The sequence below is a fragment of the Homo sapiens genome, chromosome 8, assembly GCF_000001405.40.
Source record: "Homo sapiens chromosome 8, GRCh38.p14 Primary Assembly".
Taxonomy (NCBI): Eukaryota; Metazoa; Chordata; class Mammalia; order Primates; family Hominidae; genus Homo; species Homo sapiens.
The window spans coordinates 64,361,273-64,388,054 of record NC_000008.11 but is presented as its reverse complement, the minus strand read 5'-3'; the positions used below and the strand labels follow the sequence as shown (position 1 = coordinate 64,388,054).

The 26,782-nt window shown below is 41.6% G+C and overlaps 2 long non-coding RNA genes and 1 other non-coding gene across 6 annotated transcripts in view, besides 6 other annotated features; 1 reads left to right on the top strand and 2 right to left on the bottom strand.

The window, feature by feature from the left end:
- Positions 1–550: 550 nt before the first annotated feature.
- Positions 551–14,837, bottom strand: MIR124-2HG (MIR124-2 host gene). Of its 4 annotated transcripts, NR_109792.1 has the most exons (3): positions 14,504–14,727; positions 9,566–9,996; positions 551–6,452 (listed from the first exon to the last, which is right to left on the bottom strand). It is a non-coding gene; the product is annotated as an MIR124-2 host gene (long non-coding RNA). The 4 variants fall into 4 exon arrangements; NR_034102.2 differs by lacking the exon at positions 551–6,452 and having other exon boundaries at positions 9,221–9,996; positions 14,504–14,837; NR_034103.2 differs by lacking the exons at positions 551–6,452; positions 14,504–14,727 and adding an exon at positions 10,574–10,728 and having other exon boundaries at positions 9,221–9,996.
- On the bottom strand, positions 8,798–8,906 carry MIR124-2 (microRNA 124-2). Its single transcript, NR_029669.1, has one exon. It is a non-coding gene; the product is annotated as a microRNA 124-2 (primary transcript).
- Positions 10,912–11,489: an enhancer, noted in NCBI's record as "H3K4me1 hESC enhancer chr8:65289123-65289700 (GRCh37/hg19 assembly coordinates)". NCBI's record gives its function as "activates a minimal SCP1, AML or CMV promoter by ChIP-STARR-seq in naive H9 embryonic stem cells {active_cell/tissue: H9 hESC(naive)}" and the evidence as "EXISTENCE:reporter gene assay evidence [ECO:0000049][PMID:30033119]".
- Positions 14,709–15,249: an enhancer, noted in NCBI's record as "NANOG hESC enhancer chr8:65285363-65285903 (GRCh37/hg19 assembly coordinates)". NCBI's record gives its function as "activates a minimal SCP1, AML or CMV promoter by ChIP-STARR-seq in primed H9 embryonic stem cells {active_cell/tissue: H9 hESC(primed)}" and the evidence as "EXISTENCE:reporter gene assay evidence [ECO:0000049][PMID:30033119]".
- Positions 16,399–16,923: an enhancer, noted in NCBI's record as "H3K4me1 hESC enhancer chr8:65283689-65284213 (GRCh37/hg19 assembly coordinates)". NCBI's record gives its function as "activates a minimal SCP1, AML or CMV promoter by ChIP-STARR-seq in primed H9 embryonic stem cells {active_cell/tissue: H9 hESC(primed)}" and the evidence as "EXISTENCE:reporter gene assay evidence [ECO:0000049][PMID:30033119]".
- Positions 16,924–17,450: an enhancer, noted in NCBI's record as "OCT4-NANOG-H3K27ac-H3K4me1 hESC enhancer chr8:65283162-65283688 (GRCh37/hg19 assembly coordinates)". NCBI's record gives its function as "activates a minimal SCP1, AML or CMV promoter by ChIP-STARR-seq in naive and primed H9 embryonic stem cells {active_cell/tissue: H9 hESC(naive and primed)}" and the evidence as "EXISTENCE:reporter gene assay evidence [ECO:0000049][PMID:30033119]".
- Positions 17,451–17,976: an enhancer, noted in NCBI's record as "OCT4-NANOG-H3K27ac-H3K4me1 hESC enhancer chr8:65282636-65283161 (GRCh37/hg19 assembly coordinates)". NCBI's record gives its function as "activates a minimal SCP1, AML or CMV promoter by ChIP-STARR-seq in primed H9 embryonic stem cells {active_cell/tissue: H9 hESC(primed)}" and the evidence as "EXISTENCE:reporter gene assay evidence [ECO:0000049][PMID:30033119]".
- Positions 18,793–19,294: an enhancer, noted in NCBI's record as "NANOG hESC enhancer chr8:65281318-65281819 (GRCh37/hg19 assembly coordinates)". NCBI's record gives its function as "activates a minimal SCP1, AML or CMV promoter by ChIP-STARR-seq in primed H9 embryonic stem cells {active_cell/tissue: H9 hESC(primed)}" and the evidence as "EXISTENCE:reporter gene assay evidence [ECO:0000049][PMID:30033119]".
- LINC01414 (long intergenic non-protein coding RNA 1414) overlaps positions 19,497–26,782 on the top strand; it is a 511,616-nt gene continuing 504,330 nt past the window's right edge. Inside the window, exon 1 of the long non-coding RNA NR_125826.1 lies at positions 19,497–19,714. This is a non-coding gene — a long non-coding RNA (long intergenic non-protein coding RNA 1414). The remainder of the gene's footprint in view (positions 19,715–26,782) is intronic.

The following is a 26,782-nucleotide window of genomic DNA, read 5'->3' as shown; positions in this document are numbered from 1 at the left end:
ACACTTGCCATTGCCTAAAAAAGCCTGACAGAGACATCTAGCCACTTTCAAAGACTTGGCTAAGATGGTGACCAACAGTCATGAGCAATAAATGAGGGCGATATTTAAAACTGTGTTTTTGGTAAAGACAGAAATCTCTAAAACCTTCACAGCTAATGAAATGAATTTAAAAAGTACTTGAAATTATATCTGTGGGCATATTTTGGGATAGGCTTTTGAGTGTTCAGTTGATTTGATGCTTATTTTAAACATTTGAAATAATGAGGTTATGAAGAAGTGAGTCTAGTTATTAGGACCAGTTTAATAACTAAATTAGATTTGTTGTGTACAACTAATCAATCCAATAAAACCAGTTGATGATTTCATTGATCTAAGTTAGTTAAATTTCAGGTCCTATAGAGAAATACAATGGTAAATTGAAAAGAAAATTTCAGGTCCTATAGAAAAATATGATGGTAAGTTGAAAAGAATCTTGATAATTGGAAAAAATCACTCATTAAAATAAAAGAAAGTAAACAAACAGAAAAAAAATCACAGGGACAAAGCTACGGCTTATTAGAATGTATAAATTAAGGATAAGGACCAAATTACAGAGTTTGAATGGGCATTTATGTTGCAAAAATTACATTTGAAATCAAAATCTATGACAAAATAAAAGTAAATATTTATAATCAATAAACACAAAATTCAAGCATGACTAATAAACCACAATTGAGACAGGAGCTAATACTTTACAGTCAACATTACATCAGCATATATTAATATTTTACTCAATTGATCTTTAAATTTGAAAGAGAATAGCAAAAAGCATTCATTGTTTCCAAATAGATAAGGATGTGCATCTGTAAGAAAAATGTAAATATATTGGTCTTGTTTATCCCAGAATAGCAAAATACAAATCTGTTCTTCTCATGAGGAAAACTCTCATTAGTGACATGGAAGCACTTAAAGATAAAAAGACATGAATTATAGAAAGTAAGTTCAGGAGAATAGAAAATTTAACACTGAGAAAGCATAAGCTCCATAAGAATAGAAATCGCATGAATTTCATTCACCTTTGAATATTTAACACAAAGAACAGAGCCTGGCACCTACTAAGCACTCAAACAGTGAATAAATGAATGAATGAATCTATGTTTTTATCTTTGGAAATCTGAGAGAAGTTGTTTACTACGAAAAGAAGTGGAGGTTAAAATAAAAATCAATTCAAGTCCATACACACACACACACACACACACACACACACACAATTCTGTGATATAAGTTTGGGTCCTACATTTAGGAATGATTGATTTGTTCAATGTTATTGGTCTAAATAATCACTTACCTTACTGGGTTTCATTATCAATTAAGATAAAAGCAGAGAGAGAGAGAGGTAGGAAGATAATGTAGAAAAATTATATTCATTGAAAGGGTATTCATGGATTTAGAAAATTTGGAAAGTTATTGCAATAACAACAGCAGGAGTATGGAGAATAGTCTGAATGAACTAGCCATTTTTAATGATTATTTATTAATAATCCTCTTGTACCATGCAATTTTACCAAGTAGATTATCTAATAATAGGAAGATAACTGCAAAAGAGGTAAGTCCAAGCCATAGCTACTGTTGGTTTTATTTTTTTTCACAACCATGTTTTAAATGTTAACTGTGATGTCTAATATAGATATTCCTTTCCATATACATGTATTTATATACACATACACCACACCCCTCATTCTCTCATCCAACTAACACAACTTCCTGATGCTTAGTGGGCATTTATAAGTATCTGTGCTTTCTGAGTTGAAAAGCTAGGTAAAAATAACCCTGTCATTGAATCAAAGCCCCTTTCTTTAAATATACCAGGTTGTAAAATCACATATTGAAGAATGCATCCTTGGAGTTCTTGTAACCAATCTACTTATCTGATATCATCAGGACAATGAAAACAACATAACTACTATACCCGAATTCTGGGAATCGAGAGAGTAGAGTCAGGTCAAGGATGTCCAGGGAAGAGAGAAGTTCCTCTGATTTGGAAAACTGGCACTACATAGCTCTCGGCAAGGGAACACCTTTCTCTATTTAATGTTTTCATAGCAACCCAAACTTTGTAACCTTTAAATTGACCTTGCCTGAGGTACATAGTCCTTATCGTTTTGGCCTGGAACTCCCACTCTTCACAGTTAACACGAGTATAGGGAATTCCTGAGAAGCATTGTGACTGAGTTCAAGTTAAGAATCCTGCCAATGTAAGTACATTGTCACTACTACTTAGAACATTCAAATCAGTAAGAAACACTCTCCTAAACCAAGTTTCTGTTTCATTTGTCACTGTTTTTTGTTCAAACAAATTAACAGAAGAAAGATATTTTGCCCAGCATAAGCTATGTTATATTCATTCTATTATTAAGACAGTAGTCCCCACTTCTCTGCAGAGGATGCATTCCATGAGCCCTAGTGGATGCCTGAAACTGCAGATAACACTGAATCTGATTGTCGTCAATCGGAACACGTTTCTGTTCATGTCTTCCAACAGCAAATTTAGTGCCTTTTGCATTTTAAGTAGCACTTATGCACCGTGGCTGTAACTTTTACAGTTTGAAGTGTGACAACAAAACTAGCCTAAATTTACCTTTCATTCTTTTCAAATTCATTAATAGATGATCCATTCTTACACTAGATCTTAGCAACCTCAGTATGCAATATTTTTTCTTTCCTTATTAATTTGAGAACTTTCGCCTTTTCTCTTAAAGGATGTACCTATGGCTTGTCTTTGGCATATCTGAATTCCCAACATCACTACTTTTGAACTCTGCAGTCATTTTAAGCAAAACAAGTGTTGCTTGAACATAAGTGATGCTGTGTGATATTACTGCAACAGTAGATGTGATCATCAAGATGGTTACTAAGTGACTAAGGGGTAGCTACATATAGCATGGAGATGCTGGACAAAGGATGATTCACATCCTGGGTGGGATGAAGTGGGGTGGTGCAAGATTTTATTATGCTGCTCAAAGCAGCACAAACTTTAAAACTTATGAATAGTCTATTTCTGGAATTTTCCATTTAATATTTTCAGACCACAGTTGACCGCGGGTAACTAAAACCACAGAAAGCGAGCCAAGGCTAAGGGGAGACAATTGTACCATGTATAAAATTATATTTTAAATATTTTCCTTCTTATGATTAAAAAGAACCTGACCAACAAGTAGGAAAGGAAAAACACAATTCTGCATTACAAACCCATAAGAGTTCAATAGTAAATTCACATTTTGCTTATTTGTTTTTCAACTTTTCCCTGTCTTTCTTAATTCAACAAGATCAAAATTGTGACATGACAATGAAGAATTCCTTAAGGTTTCTCTGCATAAACATCTTCTACTGGAATTTTAAAAACAAAATTGAAGTCAAGAGGCTTCTTTGTTCTTTCTACATGTGTCTCAAAGACTTAATTTCTTCCTATTTCACTCTATTTTGCCTTGGTAGTATCCAACATCTGAACTTTTTACTTCGTGGAGATTTGCTCATCAATGTATATATTTTCGCTGCAGTTTGTAACTACTAACCTTCTATCTTAAAGACAATCAACTTTGATTTCTTGACATCCCAATTTTATTCCTTCTTAAAGCATTTTATTTTCAATTCCTACTCAGTCATATTTCCATAGTATATTATTTACTTAACAGCAGCTGATGGAAATCGCAGTGGCAGCTGAGTCTGAATACTACAAAGATACACAGTGTGCTAAAGCCTGTTCTTTCTAATCTGCGGTCCACGATTAGGGCTTTTTTGTGGTCTACAAATATTAAATTCTATATTAATTTTATCTAAGACAGTGCACAATTATTGTTGCGGTTCCTCCTTAAAAGCATCAGTAATTAGTTGTTTGTGTTCTATTAGTGCTTTCCCTAAATATACTGTTTAGATACATATTACTCCTATGGAAGTGAATGTTTCCATAGGCTTTTCACAGCCAGAATAAATTAGGAGGAGTGTTTCAGTTACAATACGTTACCCTGTACAAGTATAAAATAAAGGGAGGTTAAAAACCCTTACATGCAAATTTGAATAACAAATATTAGAGTATGCGTTTTACTTCGGGCAGCATCTATTGGACATCTGGGAAGCTCTTTTAGTTGGTTCTCTTCTGTTTTTCTTTTCTTTTTCTTTTTTTAGAATACATCAAATGGTTTTTAAAATAGAAAAAAGTCATGTTCATGTCTTCCACCCACGAATTTGTTGCATTTTATTTACATTTTAATTTACATTTTATTATATATTTTATTTGCCTAGAAGTTGTTTTTTAACTGATTATAGTAACTATAAGAAGTATAGCAAATTTATGTCACTCTGTTTATTTTCTCCTGGGTAAAATATGCACTTATTTAGGAAGAAATTTAAATTAAGTAAAAGAAAAAAAATATTTTTAATTTTTAAAAGGATACTTAAAATAAAAACATAAAAGTTCTACCATTTTTTCACTTATTATGCCATACATTCGTAAGTGCATTCTTTGGAGAAATAGCTTTCAGAAGACAAATGTACCCATATTTATACGGAACTTGACACAATTGGTCAAATATTTAACCTGATTTAACATTTAATCAATACAAGATTTTTAAATTATAGCAAATTGTAAAATCATACAATTTTTAATTTTATCTTAGTATTCTCAACAATCTTAGAACTTAATATTCTTATAGGCATTTTGATTTAAAAGCTAAGACTAAAATAAGTGATTTTAAACAGCTATTTTGTTCTGACACCATAAAATAAACAGAACTTTATTTTTACAAGATTTATTAACAACCACATAGTTAATAGAAGCATTTTATTACATCAGCACTAATATATGCAACAACAGACTTCATGGCAAAGGTGTGCGTTTCAAAATAGGTGGCCATCTTGAAATTCATAATGTTGAATAACTACAAACGTACATTTATTTTAATCAATATAAACCCTATAACATAAAAATTTGAAAAGGTTTGAACCTTTAAAAAAAATCTCTATTTCATTTGGTAATTGATTTTCCATACTGAAAAACTCATTTTTAATGCAAATAACGTTTCTTATGGCTTTGCCCATGCTGCTACCATATCTCATTACTTCTACTCAGAGTGGGTTATTTTCTAAAGAAGGCTTTGCAAGCTGAGTGTGTGTGTATAAATGTATTGCAAAGGTTTTAAGGGCAAAAATATTGTACATATTAATAAGAAGCAAATTTTTCTTCTTCTTTAAAATAATTCACTTTCTTATTTCAAAACTTCAAGTCTGGTCAAAATTTGGGTTAATCACTGAAACAAAACAACAAAACAATGATTTACATCGAGACTTAATTTCTTTCTTTTTATTATCGTTTTAAACTAACACAACAACATGTGCTCGGTATCTTTATTTTAATTAAGATTTGTTTCTTTATTAGATCTTAGTTATTTGGAGAAACCAGGACGTCTTCTCCACTCACCTGTTTTACACAAAGGTTTTTCACTTAGATTTGCAATTTCGTATTTCCATATAAAATTCGAGAAAGAGTGGAGAAATATAACTACAGAAATAATCTGAAAACTTCAAAACACGGACTTTTCATTATCCTCCAGAATAGAAGATAACATCCAAGGAGTGCTCAAAATCAAAATCAGGTGGCCCTTTCAAAAGTAGAATATGATGAGAGCTTTTAAATTTCACAGATTAAACGTTTCTAAGAGCTTAATGTTTCCTCCGCTTATTGCCACTGTGCCATCTGGCTTTTGTAACTGGTGTCCTGCCTCTTTGAGGCAGCAGAGGGCGCTCTGGCATTGTTGACACCAGATACCTCCCGGTGCACCGCGCTAGCATCTTGTTCCCAGGAAGGAAACATACTATTTCCCTGGAGGGTTGTCCTTGAGTATCTCAACGGGTCAAGCTGTTCCTAAATTATTCCGAGAAGCTTTAATTTCAGACCTAGATGAAAGCTGAGATTGTCAAAGGACTCTCACGGCACGCCGCACCGAAGTTCTCCCATTGCGAAGCCCGGGTTGTTTTATTGCAAAACTGCCGCGCATAGAATTTCTTTCATAGCAGGAAAATTTGTAATGGGCATCAAACTGGATGATTATTTTCCAAAGAAATAGGAAGTACATAGTCTTAAAAATCTAGAAACATCACGGATCAATAGCCACTCGATTTCATCTAGGCAACCGAATTACTAAATTGAGTGTTTCCCTTTTTAAGCAGTATTTTAACCTCTCTCATATCACGTATTTCATTTCTATTTAGAAAGCAATTTTAAACTGATCAAGCTTTCTGAAGGACAAGTTTAGATGATCCTAAACAGGTAGGATTAGGCTGAGGGGATTAGGTTTGCTCCTCTGAGGTAGTATGAATTCTAAAGGAATCAGGCAGGACGATTTTGCAGCCCTGGACCATAGCTGCTTTGTGGATTACGCAAGATGTGGATGCAGGAGATCAGCGCAATTGGATGAATACTGGAAGGAAAAAGCAAGGCCGCCATGATAACGTGTAATGCTTTAAATTCATTTCTGCTTCCAACGACTGCTTTTAATTGGCACAAGAGGAATATTCCCAATCCTTAAATTTTGTAATTCGAGCAGCCCCTATTTTCCAGTGTGCTTTACCCACCCACTCCGAAATTGGATAAAATTAAATATAAACCAAAGTAATCGATGAATGTGAAAGACCCGACTTGCAGAGTTCTAAAATTCGAGGACAGATAAAATCCGCCCTGAGGCAGGGGGTGAGAAGGCAGCTCTCTGAGGATATTGCACCTGGCCGCTTTATTTCATGAATTTTATGATACATCTACATCCCGTGTAAAAAAAATAACTTAATGAACACATGTCTTTTAGGTCATTGTCAATGCATGGCCCATTGTTATACCTGGATCAAAATCGGTGTTGCTGTCTCTATTGTCCAACCTGAATTATTTTGTCTGTTACTAATTTTAACACCCTTTATGTTTGTGAATTTATAGACAAACTCAAGCAAATGCATAGAAATTTCTTTTGAGAAATAGCCAGCCAGGGTGGCTACGAATTGGTTGATTTTCCGTCTCTCTCTCTCTCTCTCTCCCTTGCCATTTTGATTCATTACTTAGGGAATTTAAATTTGTATTGTTTACATTTAATACTTTCAACATCTAAGAACGATGAAATATGCTAAGAAATTTAGATTTTTGAATATATCAATACTGACTCATCCAACCTTCGATTTCTAAGGCGAATTTTCACTGCATAAGATTTAGTAAACCGCCCTGCCTCTTTCCGTCGCGTGAGCTATGAGGATGTGGCTGAGGTCGGTTTTTCCGCAGTGCGGGTTTCAGGCCTCCTGGCCCTCCAGTGCCTCCCGCCGGCTGGGATGCGCCGAGCAGGCTCCTGCGCAGCAGAGCGGTCTGCAGAGCTCAGCCCTCTGTACCCGTCTACTAAGGCTGCCGGGCTGCAAGGCCTGGCCGAAGGTGGCAAGCTGCATGGGCTCCTGCCCTGTTTCACCTGGTGGGTCCCCGACCCACCCCTTCCTAGTTAAGCCTCGAGGCCCACACTTGAGTCCATTGCACGTCCCTTTGGTGACCAAGTAAGCACTAAAATCCGCGGCTGAGGACCTTATGTTTCTGTTTTAAGGAAGATGATTTAAGAAAGAAAAGGATAATAATAAAGCCTTCATTCTCCTCAATTTCCTTCTTGCAATCCTGCGATTTAGGTTTCAGCCTAAATAAAGTGGAAATGGTTTCCCCATACACTTACAATGTATGTATGTGTGCATTCCTACGTGAAGACCAAAAAGTGTCAGGCAAGGGTAGCAACCAGCTTGAGGGAACGATTTCAGTAAAATATTGTTTTGCTGTATGTGACCTTTTTCTCTTTTTAAATGTTATTTTTCAAATTACCTAATATCCTACTCTTCTTTTGAGTAGGGACGGGACGGTCCTATTGCTTTTCCAGTTTGATTACGGAGAGAGAAAAGGGCCACGGTCAGCACCGCGGACAGCGCCAGGCAGGGAGGGCGCGGCTACTTTGGTGCATCCTCTTAGCTCCTCTCCTTTGTTCCCAACCCCTGCAGGCCAAGGCAGAACAAAGACATCAAGGCTCGCTTTTTCGGCCTGGGTTTTTCTTTGGCTCCAAAGTCGTGGTGCGGAACTGCTACCTCAACATAGTCCACCTCACTGGCTTCCAAACAAATTAATTTACCGAGTCCTTCTAAAGTTTCTGACCTGGTCCTTTCACCTTATCCCACTCCTTTGACCGATTTGGACATTGCGACAATGCCAAAACAAGAGAGTTATCTTGGCGTCTTAAAGCCAGGCATGAACGCCTCGAGATTGGGAAGAAAAAGGGAGAAGTCAAGGGGAAATGCGGGCGGCAAGTGTTCTTCAGATCTTTCCAAAGTTTGGACGTTTCATTTGCTGTTTCTTGCGCAGTGTGGTCAGGACGCTATTTAATGTTACACCTCTCTCTGCTGTTTTGTTTTCCCAGCTTGGCCCAGGACTGCAGACAATCACACTACCTGTTCTTGAAAGAACTAGTGCTTTCTAAATGATTTAACTCTCTGGAATATTTGCACAGGCGGGAACTACTGCTCTCCAGACAGCTGTCAATGAAGCTTCCCTAAAATTCTCCTCGGAGATTTGCCTGCGGATTTCCGCGGCTGTAATGGAAAAGTAGGAGCCTTTCCCTTTCGAACACTAGGTTGCTTCCAGAATCAGTCCTGGGTGGGGGTGGGGGGCATTTATGCGGCAAGAGATGGGTTCCTTTTACTACCCCCTAAATTCCCTGCAATTGCTTTTTCCCCTTTCTGACCCTGAGATGCTTTGGTGTCCTTCAAGTGCAGCCGTAGGCTCCGCTCTTGGCATTCACCGCGTGCCTTAATTGTATGACATTAAATCAAGGTCCGCTGTGAACACGGAGAGCAGAGCCTCTAATCTTGATCCGGAAAGTATAAGACCCACTGCGATTACCACTCTTCTCTCCCTGCCCATCCCCCTCTCTCCGCTCTGAGTCTCTACCCCTAGAGTCATAACTCATAAGCCCAGCTCCTGTCTCTGCTCATCTCTGACACATCTGCCAGAGCCGCTGTTAATTAGTCTGTTCCGTGGAAGTGTAGACGGTGCGTGTGCCTGCGTATACATATGCATATATCTCCATGCCATTTACAGCACACGCCTAAAAACATACATAAGCCTATAAATCTAGTTTTCAAATGACGGCGTGGATCCAAGTTAATTACCCCTCTGGTACAGATCTAATTTTGTAATCGTGTTATTTTACTGAATGCAATTAACCCAGTTGGTTCGCCCTGAATCCTTTCTAAGGCACTTGTAAGGAATGGCAGGTTTTTAAGGACCACGCTATTGCATGTTCTCCGTCATAACCATTGCCAATCATTTTCTGCTGTCAGGGATGAAATCTAGCATATAAAAGAGAAAACCATGCGTGTGTGCCTGTAAGATAAACACACAGATATGCCTGGGCTCTGTGTCCTTTGATAACGTTACCGCGGGTTTGGTTGGGAGATTTTGGGAAAAGAGAGTCCAAGGGCGGGCTGGGTCATCTTTCTTTGTAATGCGGAAAAATTAACTCATCCGCACCTGCCTAGTCCCGAGAGAGCTGGGCGGCCCATCTGGTCTGGCTACAAGTTTGCTGCGGAGAGAAAAGCCTGCTCACTAAAGCTTCCCCACTGCCCAGGAGCGCGGACCTCGGGTCTGGGCCCGGAAGAGGGATTAGGCTCAGGGCAGCGCAGCCGACTCGCACTCCTCAGCCAGTGGCCACAGTCTGGGGCTGGAAGCGCCTGGGCCGGGCGGAGGGAGGGCAAGCAGGAGAGAGAAAAGGGTGAGGGAAGTTGACCTCTACGGGCGGAGCCCTCTGCGCAGCGGGCAGGAGGCAGCGGGCGCGACGGCTCTTTTCACGGCGTCCCCTACGGCGTGGTCGACCCGAGGGAAAGGCCCGCTCCCGCTCCAGAGTCCGAGGAAAGGAGAGAGAGCTGAGAGCTGGTCTTGCGCAGAGACCCCAGAATGCGCCCCTGAAAAACAGAATCAAAGCGCAGTGTTAGGGAGGCGGGAGAGAGGAGGGGGAGGGTGGGGAGAGGGACACGAGGCGGGAGGGAGCATGCGAGGGATACAAGGTGACAAGAGGACAGGACCCCAGTCGGCCGGTCGCGACCTCCGTCCCCAGGCTTCAGGGGGACGCGGAGGGGACCCTGAGCCCACGGAGCGCGGGGCCCGCAGCCCGGGGGGAGGGGGTGGCGCGATGACTGTAAGCGCAGGTCTGGGCTGCGGAAGTCCAGAGGAGGGTGCATGCGCTGCGGATACTGCCGCGTCCAGAGAAACGATTTCGGGAGCTGGAGCAGTGAAAACGAGTCCGCAGATGGTCCTTCTGTGCAGTCCCAGCCGTTCCCGCATTCTGCACCCCCTTTCCCAGCCTCACCCCCTCCCTTGGACCACACGCCAGACCCGCACTCTCGAATCTCCACCCCTCTTCGTTTAGGACCCTGCAAACTGCAAGACCGGCAAGAGAATCGAAACGATCGATGAGAGAAAGAATTACATATACCCATAGCCCTAGAAATCCGGAGAGAGACCTGCTAGCCCTGTTCAAACCTGCAGAGGACCAAAACGTTTTCAATCGCTGCTCAGCGCGTTCGCAGAGGAAAGAAGAGGCTGAGAGCCTTCCGTGGTATAAGGTGCTTTAAGGTGGGAGGTGGGGGTAGGGAGGGGGTGGGTCGGAGCGGTCCGGTCTTTCCCCCTCGCTTGCTGATCCAGAATTAGGGATTAATGGCTCGCTCCAGCCAAACAAATAAGGCATCTGCCTTCAGCACAAGAGGATTACACGGGCTGCTGACGTCACCAGTCAGACAGATGTTGGCTCCCAAAGTCCTGAGCAGCTCGCTGTGTCCTTGAAACCAAAGAGCCGCAGAAGGCTCGCAGCCCCCAGTTGCAGAGCCTAGGTACAGCAGAGGGCAAGAGCCCTGCCCTTGCCGACAACCTCTTGGCGTCAACCCAGTGCCCGCAGGCAGCTCCCTAAGACGTCGAGCTTCCAGCCTCTCCAAGCGCTCCCTTCGCCGTCCTGCTGTCAAAACCCAGGCTCTCTCAAAACAAGCCAAAGTCACCGTTCTCAGTTGCCTCTCCCTAACATGGAGACAAACGCCCACAACCCAGTCGACACCTTATCTAGATCCCACATTTAAGCTCTCGGGCTCCTGTTCACTCACACTCGGTTGGCCAAGTAACAGGAAAATAAGCACCTTAGGCCGGACACAGCCCACGCTCCAGCTGAGGGACCGCCTCTTAATTATGTGCGCAAGCAGCAAAAGCAGAGCTAATCTGCATCTCCTCTTCTCAACCCCGCAGCCTGCCTTCCCCCGAGGCCAAGGTTTAGGTTTATGTTTAATCTTATCACGAATGCCATTCCGGACGAATGTGCCTTTCAAAACAATGACGCTTTGCCAACCTAACTCAGCGTCCCAACCAGAGCCCTGGACCACCACTCGGTGAACCACGGGGACCTCACCATGGTCCTGATTAGGACACGGAAAAAATGTCATTGCATATTCTTCTCAAGTACTTTGAATACGTTGTCTAAAACTAAAATATTAAAATAAGTATGTGTGTTCAAAATATATGTAGCATCTAATTCCAGCAACCTGCACATTCAAAGAACTGCAGTTTCATTTTATAGCCAAATCTGATGAATAAAGATCAAAAATTAATTTATTTATAAACTCCAAGGTCCTTTTAAATGATGTAATTTTAACTTAATTTTAATTATGAACTATTTTAATTCTTCTAACCTGCATATTGTTTTTGCTTTATATGATTTTCCAGGCCTTTACAGGTCACACTAAAGTCAGGTTATGAAATAAGCTAAAAGACACATCAAACTGGAAATTTAAATGAGCAATTTTGAATAAGTTATGTAATCCACAAATGAAATGGTTTTAAATGAATTTTAATTCTGTAAAGGAGTAAAGACTATTCAAACAATGTATAAAACAAAATAAGCTGATCTCCAGCACAGACCCACACTGAACCAATCCTGTGTCCCAAATCTAATCAGTATATATGAAAAAATCTGTGACTTTCTTGGAAAAAAAATAAATGCTTGCTCACAACATTGCACTGTCAGTTATAGAGTACAATGCCTACACGGGAGTAGAAGGAATAGCCGGATTATATCTCCATTCATATTATTCCTGTCTATCAAAGTGGCATTTAATTTTCCCAATTTTATGCATTTAGAAATTCATTCACTGATAAAAATCAATTTAATTTTCTGTAGTGTCATTCAGCCAATGCCAGTCTAAAATAGTAAAATTTCTCCATCCCCATTCTGTTTCAAGGCCTTATAAAAAACGTTCTACATCTAAAACTGATAGTTTTAAATTTTATATTTACCAGTACCAAAAGGTGGGCTTTATCTTATTTTAATTGGATAAGTAATATATACTATTTGAGGCAGGGTAAAAACTGAACACATAATCATTGTTTCTTTGAAACTTGGTAGAATAAGTTTGAAATGCCACATTTTACCAGTCTAATTCCTTTTAAAGACCATAAAGATTATTTTTGACTTCTAACATGCTTTGAATGTAAACTTTCACTCAGGTCTCAAAATTTTATTAGAGTCCTTTTTTGCTCAGTGATTTAATATTAGTTCGCTGTCCATGGTCTTGATCCACATGAAAGGACATGCTAGTGTTACCTTTTGAAAAATGAAAGTCACAATGCTTCTGCACAAATTAGACTCCCTAGCATTTAAAATGATAGCAAAAGGGGGAAATGCTATAGGCTTTAGGTTCTCTTCCTCATCCCAGTTGTTCTCATTTTTCTATATTTGCCACCAAATTGAATGTACAGGAAGCAGATAGTTTGCATTTCATTATTTTTGAGCTCACAAAACCACCACTCCATTTAAAGATCCAAATAATTGTAGTAAACAGGAAATAATATCTTTCAACCTGCAATACTTTTTTGGCGGTTTTCAAAAGAGACATAGACATTGTTGTACAGGAATCCTTGTCCACTTTTACATATGGTTTAACAAGTGCAGAAAAATTACAAAAATGACAAATTCAGGGGCAAAAGCTAAACAACCTTTTCAATCATCTCTCTCTCCATATTTACATCACTATATAGAGGCATATAGATAGCACACACACACACACACACACACACGCTAAGAGCATTAAACTAAATCCATCTCTAACACCTTACACTTTTTTTGTAGCAAAGCATATGTTCCAGTGGCTAAGATGCGGAATAATTCTTCTAGCCAAAATAGCATTTCATCTTCAGTTTAAAAAATAAGAGACTGACCCGGCAGAGTAACATTTAACATCTCCTGGGGTTTCCTCGAGCGTGAGAAAGGAGAAAGGGAAAGAAATATTCCCTCTTTCAAAAACGTAATTGTCCTTCGTTTTTTATTTTCTCCTTCACATTGTCAGGAAAAATATGTTTTTTATATATATGTATATATGCATATATAAATAGACACTTATTTTTCCAAACCCCAAGAGCCGCTGTTGATCTTTGGAGGACACCGATCCGCACAAACCGGTCATATCTGTGCTTTGATACAAGTACCCCAACGGTAAGAAAACAGGCCCTTGGTTTTAAACTGAGGTCAGCACCCACGCCAGGCCATGGGGCCGAGCCTCAGCGATTCACACTTTCTTGGGCACGAGAAGGCTACTTTCTCAAGAAGTATTTCGAACTTGGGAAAATCCTAGTACCGGAAGAAAATGGCCTAAACACAATAGGACTCGCCATTTTCTCCTTGTGAAGCACAAAGCGCTTGGCGCTGCCCGCCACACAAAGAAAGCCTGGGCCCGCGGAATTCTTGCACATTTTCAAGAGGCCAAAAAATACCTTCTCAGAACCACAATTTCTCCCTCCTGGGCGCCGTGAGACACACCCTCTCTCCCACCCTCATTCAGTCCTCGTCCCAAGAAGATCCCATATTTGAGATGGAGATAAAAGACGCACCGAAGGCGCGATGCTGGCGTGCGAGCCAACCCCGGCAAGAATAAGTCCTGAAAACCAAGGGGCCCGGCCCGCGGCTGGCCGGGGCTCCATTCTAGGCCCGGGGTGGGGGAACACGGATCCCCTCCCTCCTCTTCAGATCCCTCCTTCCAATTCCATTCTGTCTCCCAAGCGTGTCTGAGAGCCTGGCAAGCTTAGGGATCTCTGTGACCTGATTTCCATCCATTGCCAGGAACCAACCTTACAGCCCGGAGCTGAGCCGGCGGCTCTCAAGCATGCTCGCGACGCGGGAACTCCTCGACTCCGCGCCTCCCGCCGCCCCCCGCCCGCCACCCCAAGTCACCGCATCAAAGTCAACCAGGATCGTGTTCTGCACGCCCACAACCGGCGAAACGCTTCTCCCGCTCACGTGCGAAAAGTGTAAGCTTCGAAGAAGCCCCTGTGAACCAAAACACCAAAACACAAGCAACAACCCGATTCACAAAGCGAACACTCCCAGCCCAGCCGGGGACGCAGAGCCCGGCTACCGCAGGAAAGGATGGTACTTACAGCCGGCGTGCGCTCGGGTAATCCGCGTCGCAGTCCGTGCGGTGGTTAGTTGGCTTTTAAAAAAATCACTACACACCTCTACATCTTTGATTTTACACATCTTCCACCGGTGAGAAGGAACGAAAACAAGAATCTTGTAGCCTAGTAGAATGGGGGAGGGGGATGAAGATTTTCATTGTCTACGCTCGGCACACGCAGCCCAAGGAAAGACGCTCACTGCCTTTGGAGCTCCTTCTACTTTCTGCTTGAAATTCAGAAGCTTTCAACGCAGTAAAGCGGGGGTTTGGTCTCCCTCCCTGCCTCCCTCCCTCTGCGTTCTCTCTCTCCTTTCTCTCTCTCTCTCTGTCATTTCCTTCTCCCTCCTCTCCTCTCCCCTCCCTCTCTCAAGCTCGAAGTCTCTCTCTCTCTTTCTCTCTCTCTCTCTCTCTCGCTTTTTTTCAAAAGAGGGCAGGTCGCTTCCTGCATCCCAATGAGTTAAATCAGTCACTTACTTCTCATGCATCAGCAGCCTCTTTAACAACCCGAGGGCTGCAGGCACAAAAGAGCATTTAGCTGCCTCCAATTTGTGTAGAAGGCCTGTCCTTAATTTGTTTTTGGAGTATAATTAAATCATGTATTTCACGTAATATAAAAATACCGAATTCTCAACTTTAGTGAATGAACTGCTAATGGTAACCTTTGAAAATAAATCCCTCTTGTTGATGTTCTTATCAAGGGCCTAGAACGCCCCAGAATTGCAGAGGCCTAAGGTCTGGGCCCCAAACTACCTGCCCCTCCCCCCTTTCACATGTCAAGGTCACAGTCATATGATTCCCCCATTGCTTTAAAATGGAGCCTTTTATCAACCCGTCGCCCTGGAAAGGAATTAAGTCTCTTTTATGGGGTGGGAAGATCTGAAGGATTAAATAAATAAATAAATAAATAAATACATCCTTAATCTGAAATACACACGTCAGCAGAATCAAGCCTGATCAGACATTGGGATGGTGGCGTGGGGGGACTGACAGGGCATGTGAGAGTGAGTGGTTTTCCTCTCCCCGCTTATCCCCCTGGCGAATTTTGAGGTCGCTGGGTTTTGCTTGGGTTTCTTCCAGCGACTGCGTGGGACTTCTGGGAGGACAGGGCGGCGCCTTTTTAGCTCCCAGAGTATCTGAGGGGTTCTGATCTCCCGGACACCGCCCAGTGGTCAGGGGGATCCTGTGTATGACTCCCCCTCCTCTAAAGGGGCTGGGGTACAAAGAGCAACTCTGCCTTCCTGCAGTTTCTCTTTCAGGAAGAACTCCAGGCCTGGCCATTGTTCCTCCTCAATGAAGGGGGCTGAGGGTGACAACAGAGAGAGACCTTCTCTTCTCTACACTCACCACCCACCTCCTCCCTCACTCCACCCAAGGCCACTGCTAGGGAGAAATTTGGGAATATTTTCTTGTTCCGGAGAGACGCTTGTCTGGAAGATCATGAGATGTAATATCATGAATATCTCGGTTATCTTTGTATTTTCTTCAGTAAGATTCCGTTAAGTCGTCAGTGGGCTCCCTCACCCCCTCCCATTTTCCAGTTCTAACAGAGCTTGTTCAGAAACATTGCACTCCGATGCGAGAGAGGTTAGGACCGCAGATAACCGCATTTAGTTCCATCGAAAGGGAATGTAACAATATAACTCACCACTTCCCGCCTCTGAATATTCGCTCTTCTACCCTAAATCACCCTGGGGTTTTGAGTAAGGCCACATTTCACCTTGAGCATTTATCAAACCGTACTTGGCTGCTGCTGCTACTGCAGGAGGACTCACAGGCCGCCAACACCCACCTGACATCTGCTTGAAATATCCAACAATATCTCCAACCGGGTCGTTTGCAAAAAGCAGCAAACCAAAAATGAAAGAAGAATTTTAAAAAATACAGAAAGAATATAAGTGTGTGTATAATATAATCCCAAGGTGCTGGATTTGGGGGCTCGAATTACCTAAGACAAAACATCTCTGCAGTTGAGACCAGACCAAAGGCCTCACCACAAGGGTGTTTTATTAGCGGCGAGAGACCACGGTTTTTTGGAGGCACTACAAGAAATGCGCATCACCCCGCTGCCCTTTATCTCTCATCCATGATTCTCATTCTATCCGTTTCCAGTTTATTGACCTGGGATGCGGGACTGCTAAAGATCGTCAACGACTTGCTGAGCCTGGGGGAGGCAAAGTCACGCTGTGCGCACTGGGGCCCGCCGCTGGGAAGGTGCGGCTCTCTGCTCTGGTTAGCAGCAGAATCTGCTCTGTGGGGTGACGACTTTAGACCACCCCGGGTGGGCACTTTACCCAGCATCCTCCCCTCTCCCCCGACTCTGGCAATGCTAGCTTTGCCTCATCTTCCAGGGCCTTGGAATTTCAGCCTTGTTGGTGGGGAGGCCTTAGGAAAGAACCCAAGCGGTGGGCGCGTTTCCCACGAATGGGCCGCTCCCTCGCCGGCGGCTTATTCCGAGTGGAGGCCTCAAAGGAAAACGTGAGAGAGATCACAGGCAAGCACCCCACCATTAGTCCAAGACTTTCACCCCACCCCCACCCCATACAGATGGCTGGGCCGGGACACCTGCACGGCAGCCACAGTCTCCGCCTCCGTGCAGCTCTCGGGATGGGGATCACAGAATCGGGTCCAATAAGGTCATCAGCCACCCTGGGCCCAAATCGATCAACTCCACCCCACCTCACCCCATCCCCAGCCTTAAGAACCTTTTTCCGGACACTTTTCGCTTTCGATCCCCGCCTGGCGCCCTATGCCTAGGAAAGTGAGCGGGTGATTCCTTTCTAGCGCCAGGTTTCGGGTTTGCCCTGCTCTCAAACCTCCTCCTGCCCTGCGCACCTCGTCGCTCAGGCCTGGAACTTATGAAAATGTAACCCAACTCGTTGCCAGAAGTTGTTGCTAATTAGTGGATAATAAACTTCTGTAGCCAGGGCACAAAAGTCTTTTAAAAGTGCAAAGGTGTTCTTTGTTGTGGCATCAGAAAAGAGATTAGCATATCAATTGGACTGGGGGGACCGGACAATGAGTCCTCCTCCCCCTGAGCTGCCCTCAGTTCGCCGCCCGCCGCCGCCTCCTCCTCTTTGTGTCCTTCCTCCTCTTCTTCTTCTCGCTGCTCCGAGAGCTGTCAAGGCTTGGTCGGGGAGCTCTGGGCGGCAGGCTGGGACCGGGCAGGCAGGCGCAGTGCACGCTTCACGCCGCCCACCAGGCTCCGCGGCCTGCGTGGCGCCCACGCCCTCGCCCCTCGCCCCTCGCCCCACGCCCCTCGCTGGGGGCTCAGCCTAGCTCCGCGCCCAGGCGTGCACCTGGAGAAGGTGGAGGCGCGTAGGGACGCCTAGCCAAAGCGCAGCGGGTCTGGGAGGCCACAAGGGCGTGGACGAGGCCTGCCGGGGAGGGCGGCCTCGCACGGCCTCACGAGGCGCCCCCTCCCAATACTCGCAGCCCGGGCCCCGCAAGCCCGCGCCCTTCGCCTCCCCCAGGCGCATAAAACACTAACCGACTTTTACTCGTCTGGCCATAGGGCACCGCCAGCTCCCCACCCTCCTCCGGCCTCCACGCCAGACATGCTGGGCTGGCGACCCACGCTTGCATGCGTTGGGGGAAAGCAAAGACCCTTAGGCCCGAGGCAGCTGTTTCCTCAGAAGCTGTGGGTCCGCTCGGGTGGTCCCGGGGCGAGGTCCCTGAAGAGGCGAGGCGGCTGGAGCGGCCCAGGCCCAAGCAGGCCTGGTCGTCTCCCTGCGACCTCGCCTCGCCCCGCTGCCCCCACCGGCACCCCCTGCCCCAAGCCCGTCCTGCGGAAGTCGGCTCCTCTGGCCGAGGCAGAAACTAGAAAGCCTGCCCCGGGCCAGGTGCAGGAAAGCAAAGCAGAAGTAAGTCTCGGGCCGCAGATGCGGCCCTGGCGGGCAGGGCCTCGGCGCCCATTCCCGCCGCGACCTCGCCCGGCTGCGTACGCCAAGGAGCGCAGGATAGAGGCGCTGGTGTCTGCGGGGCCGCCCCGGGCTCGGAGAGCGGAGGAGCAGGGAAAGGCTCGGGGAAGGAATGTTAAAGGGGGACACTGGCAGCGACGGCGCGCTCCGCCCGCCCGCGGACTAGCCGGACCCGCCACTTCCCAGCCGGCCGCGAGGAGCTGCGGGCCGGGCCGGCAGCCCCTCGGCCGCGAAGCCCGCGCCACCCCGGTAACCCCGGCGAGGAAACGCGCTCTTTCCTTTTTCTTCTCCCCTCCCCCCTCCCCTTTCTCCCTAGAGGCAGCTCCCGTCCTCTAAATGCATTACACACACACACACACACACACACACACACACACACACACACACACACGGGAAATCTCTGGGGCTCTCCTTTTTCCACCGGTCTCGCCTCCTCCTAACACTGGTGTTGGTCGAACAAGCGCGAAACTCACAGAAGTTTCCCCGAAAACGAACAGCTTTAAATGCCAGGAGGGAAAATGTCGGGGGAAAAAGTGGAGGTCGGTGTTTCCCTAAATGCAAAACATCAGAGAGGAATCTGAAAAGAGCTTTACTTTCCCTGCGAAATCTCCATTGTTGCTCAGCAAACAATGGGAGCCTGGGCGACTGGAGGGCTGTGCGAATGAATAGGCGATCCGCGGGATGTGTGCGGGTCAGTGCCTGGGGTCCCGGGCCTAAAGCCCCTTTCTCAGCTTGCCACAATAAACCAGCGCAAGGTTTAGTCCTTACTGGGTCACCGGCCATCCTCTATTATTCAACACTTCACAACAAAAAACACTTATTAATCAGCGCTGACCAGAGGCCCCTTTTGAAACAAGAGAAGAGGGGAGAGAGAGAGGGAGTGAGAGAGAGAGGGGTGAAAAGAAGATTGAGAAGCCCTGGACAGATCTTTCTAAAGCCAGAGCAACCATGGGGTACTTTCCTCCAGTGGCCAAAGTTTATTTGACACAACAAAGTTTCTAATCAGGCCACGGAGACCTGGATTTCTCCTCATTTGCCTCACTCCCGGTCTCTTCCTCTGAAGATGCTGGAGACTTTGTTGCAAGAAAGGATGGCTTTAGGTCATGTTGCTGAGGCCTGATCTTAAAGATCTAATTGCTATTGGAAGAGAATCCTGTTTCCCAACTGGGCCTCCCCTCTGGAGATGGAGCAAGGAAGACTGTCCAACTCTGCTCTGGGCACCCTGCTGATGGATGAGGTGTCAGGCCAGTCGTCATGTGAGGACTGGTTTCCAAATGGTATGAGCAGTAGTCAAATGCGGTACTTATTGGTGATACTGAATGCAATCTGTAGATTTTCTACTTCATGTTGTTTCAGGCCAGATATATGAAAAAACTAAACTTGCTTGCTAGAGTGAAGAGAAATTGATTATTCCTATGCTCAGACAAGGATTGAGGGGAAAGGATATGATGAGTTTACTTTGAGAGAAGAAATTGATTAAAAATGTTCCATACCACTAAAGTCAGTGGGTTCTTTGCTCAACTTTGATAATTTTTACAGAGCTTATTTGATGTTTGTAACCTAATTTTGTGTCTTTTATTTATCTGGTTACATGATAATTATGAACACATGCTCAGACATATATGGACCCTACTATACATCAAAGTGAAGTGCTACCTACGTCAGTTTTATGGATGAGTTTAATCCATTTAGAACTCAGCTAGACATTTTTGATGGCAAAATTTTGTTGCTTTTTGATTTGGGGTTGGAAGCCAATATTTCTTGGTTATTCTGTCTGTTTCACATTACTCAGGTTGTAATTTAGCCAAGTGAGCAAAGCTCTTTTGTAATGGCTGATGTTTACAAGTAACGGAGGCAGCAGTTATTGAATCTTGGTTGTCAAAAGATATAAAACAATGATTTTCCTAAAGAAATAGAAATGAATGTCAAAACAGTATTCTTTTAAGTTTAAATTTTCGTTTGTGTACACTTTTGAGTTTCTGAGTAACATAACTAACCATTTTACTTGTTATGATTCAAAGAAGCCTTTAAAACCAGAACAAGTATGGATGGGGGATTCTGAGTTGAGCAAATTAAGCTGTAGAACTAGAGGGCTTGGTAATGAAAGCAAGAATGCAGAATTACTTGGTAGCAAACTACACTGATATTTACCAGAGTTTATGTAGTAAATGCAAAAATGAGTTGCATACTTTGGTCTGATGCCTACTATTTAAGATTGGCCTTTTTTTAATGTGGAAAATATTGTGTTACTCAGATTTTGCAGAGCTCAAGGGTTCTTGCAATGGAGTAATCAAGTGTTATCTGAATTATTTAAAGCCTGGGATTAAAGGCCTTGGAGTTGACTGCTGACAAACTCTCAAATGTAGGCAGGGGAAAGTTTAGTATTCTTGTCTATCTGTTTATACTTTGAAAATAATTTGGCCAATTGTGGTAAATTATTTTTAAAGTTTATGCATAAGAACAATGAATATTTCTTCTATGAATTGTTTCCCAAATGAGCAAGTAAGATTATTCAGAAAACAAGTAGTTATCTGTTTACTACATACCAGTGTGTCACCTAACATGCACTGTTTTCACAAGATTATGCTTTAAAAAACATATTTGCTATGGAGAGCTCTACTGTTTCAGAAAAGCATTTAGAGTGTGGATACACACAATGTATTCATTCAACAAATTCATTTGGGGGACATGACAATTTTATGTCATGTTTTTCCTTTTGCTATTTTGGTTGACTTCCTAATTTGCTTAAAGGAGGCAATATTCCATTTGTATATACATGTTTATTTGTAAACTAAAGGTACCTACTAAATGGGACTTGTCTTTCACAGAATATCTCTGATTAAGTTTTATCAAATAAATAGATAAAAGCTTTAAAATAATATGTAATACATTGAATGTGTACATATATCATTGCACAGCACACCATTTCAGCACACTTAAAGACTCTAAATACTTTCTTTCTTTTTCTTCTTCCTCCTCCTCCTCTTCTGCTTCTCTCTCTCTCTCTTTTTCTTTTGCTAAGAAACTAAGTAAATAGCATTGCAATAACATTTCCTTAAATATTCCAGTGAATTTGTATGGAAATTGGAATACCTTCCACATTATTCAAAGGAGAAAGAATAATACATAAACATTATATTCAGCAAATGTTTAAAATAGAGAAATGTTATTTGTTGATATTATTTACCATGGAAGCAATATTTGTTAAATTTGGTTAAATTTGTTAAATCTTTATGAAATCATTGTTATTCCCAAGTACTTTTTTTCTGGGACAATACATACATACTTGTATTTTTAAAGAAAATATTTACATCTCTAACAGAAACCTAAAAATTTTACGACAGATTTAGCACATCACAAAAATTACTTCATAGGTATGCAAATCATGTATATTCTGGAATTTTTTTTTTACCTTAAAAAAGCCACCTGGACAGATTTATTCTTTTTTCAAAAAAAAGATACATTTTAATAAATCTCCACTACAGAAGGTAACAAATATCTTGCTAAAATTTGTGCATCTTTATCCAAATGAAGTTGAGATTACAAAACATATGATTACAAAATGAAAAGTATATACAGTCTGGGGAATTTATCTGGAAACATTTCAGTTTTTGCATTTATGTTTCTTCCTGGCAGATACATATAATTCAGACCTTTTTTCCCTCTTGACAGAATTTGTCAAATTCAGTTTGAATTTATATGAACACGATCTGACAAAATACAGTAGAAATAGGTTATTATGAAGTTTAAATGTAAACTCTGCTGAATGTTGCCTTAATACATACTACTTTCTGTCTTATCTAAAAGTAAACTAGTGTTGTTTTTCATGATGGAATGAAGGTAAAAAGAAACTGATAGAAATTTGACTTGCCCCCCATGATCTGCCTGTTGCCAGAGAATTCTGGTTACTTGTATAGATCTAAGACTTATGTGGAGCGACTCAGCCTAGCACTTATTTATTTATAAACTTTCAGCTCACTAGAGACTCAAAGTTATATTTAGAAAATTAGAACCTCACATGATATACGTTTATTTGATTCTTTCATTTAAATACTTCATGAGTATACCAAAAGTAATTTTTAATCAAAAATTTTCATTAGGTTTAACATATATTGCATTTAAATGCCCCTAATGTATTTCTATATATACCGTAATAAAACATCTCATTTTTTGGAAACAAAAGAAAATCAAACTTCTGAATGAAACTTTTCCCTTAAAATTATTTCCTGTAGTTCTTAGTTCAATATTTCCTTTAACTAATTGCATTTTGGTACATATGTTGTGAAATCCATTTTGGCTTAGACATCAATTTTTCACCCAGAAAGCCTATCTGCTTATATAACCACTTGTGACAAAGCAGAGTATTCTAGAGAATTTCACAAAAGCTCCAAAGATGAGTGTGTGTGTTAAACTATTTAAATCCCAGAGGTTCATGGATGTTTGTTATATGTTGAAAAGGAAGTATTCAGCACTGCCAGTGTGGTAGTTTTTTTTTTTAAATGAAGGTTAAGTTTTAGAAATGCCTAAAACATAACATATACACAATAAAACACATCTGTATTTGGATTTTTAATCTTGGTAATTAGTGATTGAGTGTTTTAGGTTGACACAAGCTTCTCTTTCACTTAAGGAAGCTGTTTAGAAATACTGCAAGGAACTAGCTGTGTTGAGATTATGGCAAAGAATTAAGGTATTTTTGTTTATTTTTTTCCTGTGTTTTTATGGATTAAAATGTAGCTCAATGTCCTTGAACTCTTCTAGTGCTCCTTATGTGTTTTATTGCTTTTTGGGAAATACCAATGGGAGCAGGGGTTTTGGAGAGGAGGGCGTTAGGCAATAGAGTCTATGGATCAAGTAGGGTTTGGGTGGAAATGCTCATAATATTGAACCAGTCTCCTTGTGCCGGGAAAGGGTTCATTTGCCAAGCTTTTCTTTCTCTATAATTCTTCTGCCTCTCCACTCAAGGTGCCTAAGAGATCCCATGAAAATTAAGCTCTGGTAAAAATCATTTGTTCTGTACCTGATGAAAAAGGTATTAAGAGGCAGGAGAATGACTCCGGTTTCACATCAGGACTGGCACTTTGGAGTTCATGCTAGTCTGCAGCAACATAATGTTATGTTTTATGGATGTGCACGATGTTTTATTTCCCAGTAGTTACACGTACATTGCAGATGCATGAAGACCATATTTAAAATTAAAACCCTAAAAACAGCAACGTTCACTTGAACATATTTTGTAAGAAAAAGACTTTAGAGGGGAAAAGGTCTTAGCTATGGGAAAAGAAAAAAAATACTTAGCCATGAAAATATATAATTACATTGCATTGCAGCTAGCTTTAATCAAATTCCAGTTTTCTGAAGACCACAGTTAACTGAAGTTTAAGTAACTTATTCATAACTATTTATAACTTAAGTTTATGAATATCCTAAGAGTTTTTCTGGATACTCCAGTTTCTTATGAAAGGCAGCTTTTGTAAAACCAACCATCTGAGACCCCATACTATCTCAACTACTTTTTATCCCAAGGTTATTTATTGGTCTTCTGAGACCTAAAGATAAACAGATTTGTTTGTACATGTACATCACCACAGAGCCCAGCCAGGGCAAGTCATTCCAGCGCCACCTGGGAAGAGTTGAGATTTGGGCTGTGGGGCCTGATCAGAAAGGCTGCTAAGCTTGACATGACAGGTTCCTGGGGCCTTTGTGAAAGCCCTTGCCCTTAGAAGCAGAACCACAGTTTCTCCAAAGTGGTAGAGTAATGCCAATTTCATGCTTTGGTGCAATCCTGGGTTTGCTAGCATCAACCCTAATAATTCCAGCTGTGAAGAATATAAGCTTCATGATCAAGCTTTCCCATTCCCTCCTGTACCTCCTCATCGTTCTCTCTTCTTCTTTCTTCTCTTTTTTCCTTCTCTTCTCCTTCTCTTCTCTTCCTTCTCTTCTCAGACTGCAGTGGCAATGAATCAGCCCCATGGGCAGATGCACTTTGCTATTGATTTGCTTGCTTTGTAAGTTATGCTTTAAAACTAGTCAGGTGAGGGCTTGAAGTTTTTTTTTTTTTTTAAGACTAGTGTACTTGTTGAGTATAAGACTCACTTTGTGGAGTTTGGCGATCTGGCCAGAGGCATGGAGAAGACCACATTGTAGGTGTGATTTTCTTCTAGGGTAGGCTTAGAGTAACCTAAGGGTTAGTGATCTGAGACATATCTCTGGGACTGCCCAGGAACAACAATCTCAAAGATTTAGGAAGAGCTCTCCTGATTTTAGAAGTTCTGGGTCTGGAAGATAGACAATGGGGTTGCTCTTTCTGGATAATTCTACGTTAGTTATGTCCTCATCCCCTTCTAGTGTGTGGTGTGTGTGTGTGTGTGTGTGTGTGTGTTTGTGTGTGTGAGTGTGTATGGAGAGAGAGAGAGAAAGGTAGAACAGATGATGGTGAGTATAGTTGTTGATATAACAGAATGGCCCTAATTTAGTGTTGGAGTGCAAACATAACTCTAAAAATGGTTATCAAGGACTTTTCAGAACATTAAAACAAGTCAAACTGATTAGGACAAATAATCATGCAGTTTTACAATGCCTTTTGTTTGAAAATTTACTTCTATGGATGGATCAAGGGTTTAGGGGGAAAAAAAAGTCTGAATTGCCTGGGAGATAGTAGAATTGCTGGGTTGCAAGGAAAGTTGTCTGGTGTGTTCACTGATCTTTAAATAAGACCAAGGGATGACGGGAAGAAAAAAGAACTGGCATTTGGTTGGGTGTACTCTATGTGAAATGCTCTACCAGGCTCTATCACAGACACATTATTTCATATATTCTCACCTCAGCCCTTTAACATAGGTATTAATTTTTCTTTATTTTACAAATGAGAATGCTGAAGCTTTGAAGGGTTATATAACCTGGCCAGGGTCACACAGCTAACACATTTTGGAATTAAGACTAGAATTTAAATAAGTTTTTCTCCAAAATCTGTATTTTTTCTTCAACCAGAAATATCTCACATGATTTATTTTTCTCATAATCACTCATGACAGAAGTAGGTATTTAATCACCACGTATCTTCCCAGACTCATTTTTCTCCATACTCTCCTCTCTACAGTTATTTTCTACTTCTGTCATTGGACAGATGCCTTATGCTTTTTCAAACACTCCTATCCAAAAACTCTCTCTCTTCTTTGGCTCAAACTGTTCAGTTTGCCTGCAGTGCCTTCACCAGGACATTGACTTGGGTTGCCTTTTATTGACATGGGTGTATGAGCTCATGGGCTTGAAGCCAAGCATATATATATACACATGAATTGGAATTTTATGTTACATTAAACTGTGAAACAGGGAAATTGGGCAAAGGCAGTAGCAATTTTACTTTTCAGAGATTTAATTTTGGGATGTAATGATTATTTTTTCTTCTTTTTCCAGTTTTTCAATATTTATTTTAAGAAAGCTTTTTTGCTACCCTATTTCACTTCCGAACACATAATCTAGCCAATTAAATCATGAGTCTGAAACTTCGAGGCCTTGAGCTAGTTCTTTACTGAGGTTAAGCATCATTTAGTAGCATAATTAACTCTTTAAAGCTCTTAACTCACTATATTCTACTTATTGAATGCTTGATACTTAGTGCTAATTCTCAAAGAAAGGAAAAATGAGAGCATGTTAATAACATCTAACATATTCTATGAAGTTTTCTAAATATGGGTATACATCTAGTATATTGAATATAATTATGTTTTAGTTTTCTTATGAGAGTAGTAATCCTCACTTAAAGGAAAATTGTGAAAGTTTATTAATACTGGCAGAACATCTTGAGAATGATAAATAATATAAAGTAGAAAAATCAAAATATAAATGCTAGATTAGAAAACATTTAAATTCAAAATTATATTTACTATTTAGTTCTAAACATTAAATGAATGTTTCTATTTTCCTTCTTATAATTTCCATTGAAATATTTATTTAAGATTCTTATACTAAAATCTTTAAATGACTGTTACTTATATATGTCTATTTCTAGAAAACTAATCACCGTACTGTAGGGAATCTAAATATTCCTTCTATTGAGCTAAAAACTCAGAGGTAATCTAGGGTTAAAAAATTGAAACTTAAAAGTACAGTATGTTGGTGATTAAAATAATTTTGTAAATAATGAAAGAGAATATTAAAATTTAATATAGCAATTTTTGGATGGGAATTAACATTGGAGAGCACACTAAGTATTTATTTCAAAAACACAAATAACCTTGGAACTTATGTTTTTGGGTATAAGTTACTGTTTGTAGCACTGTTCCAAATAAGGCACTGAGGGCTGATTTGGAGCAGTGTGATATAGTGTTAATATGGAGAACAAA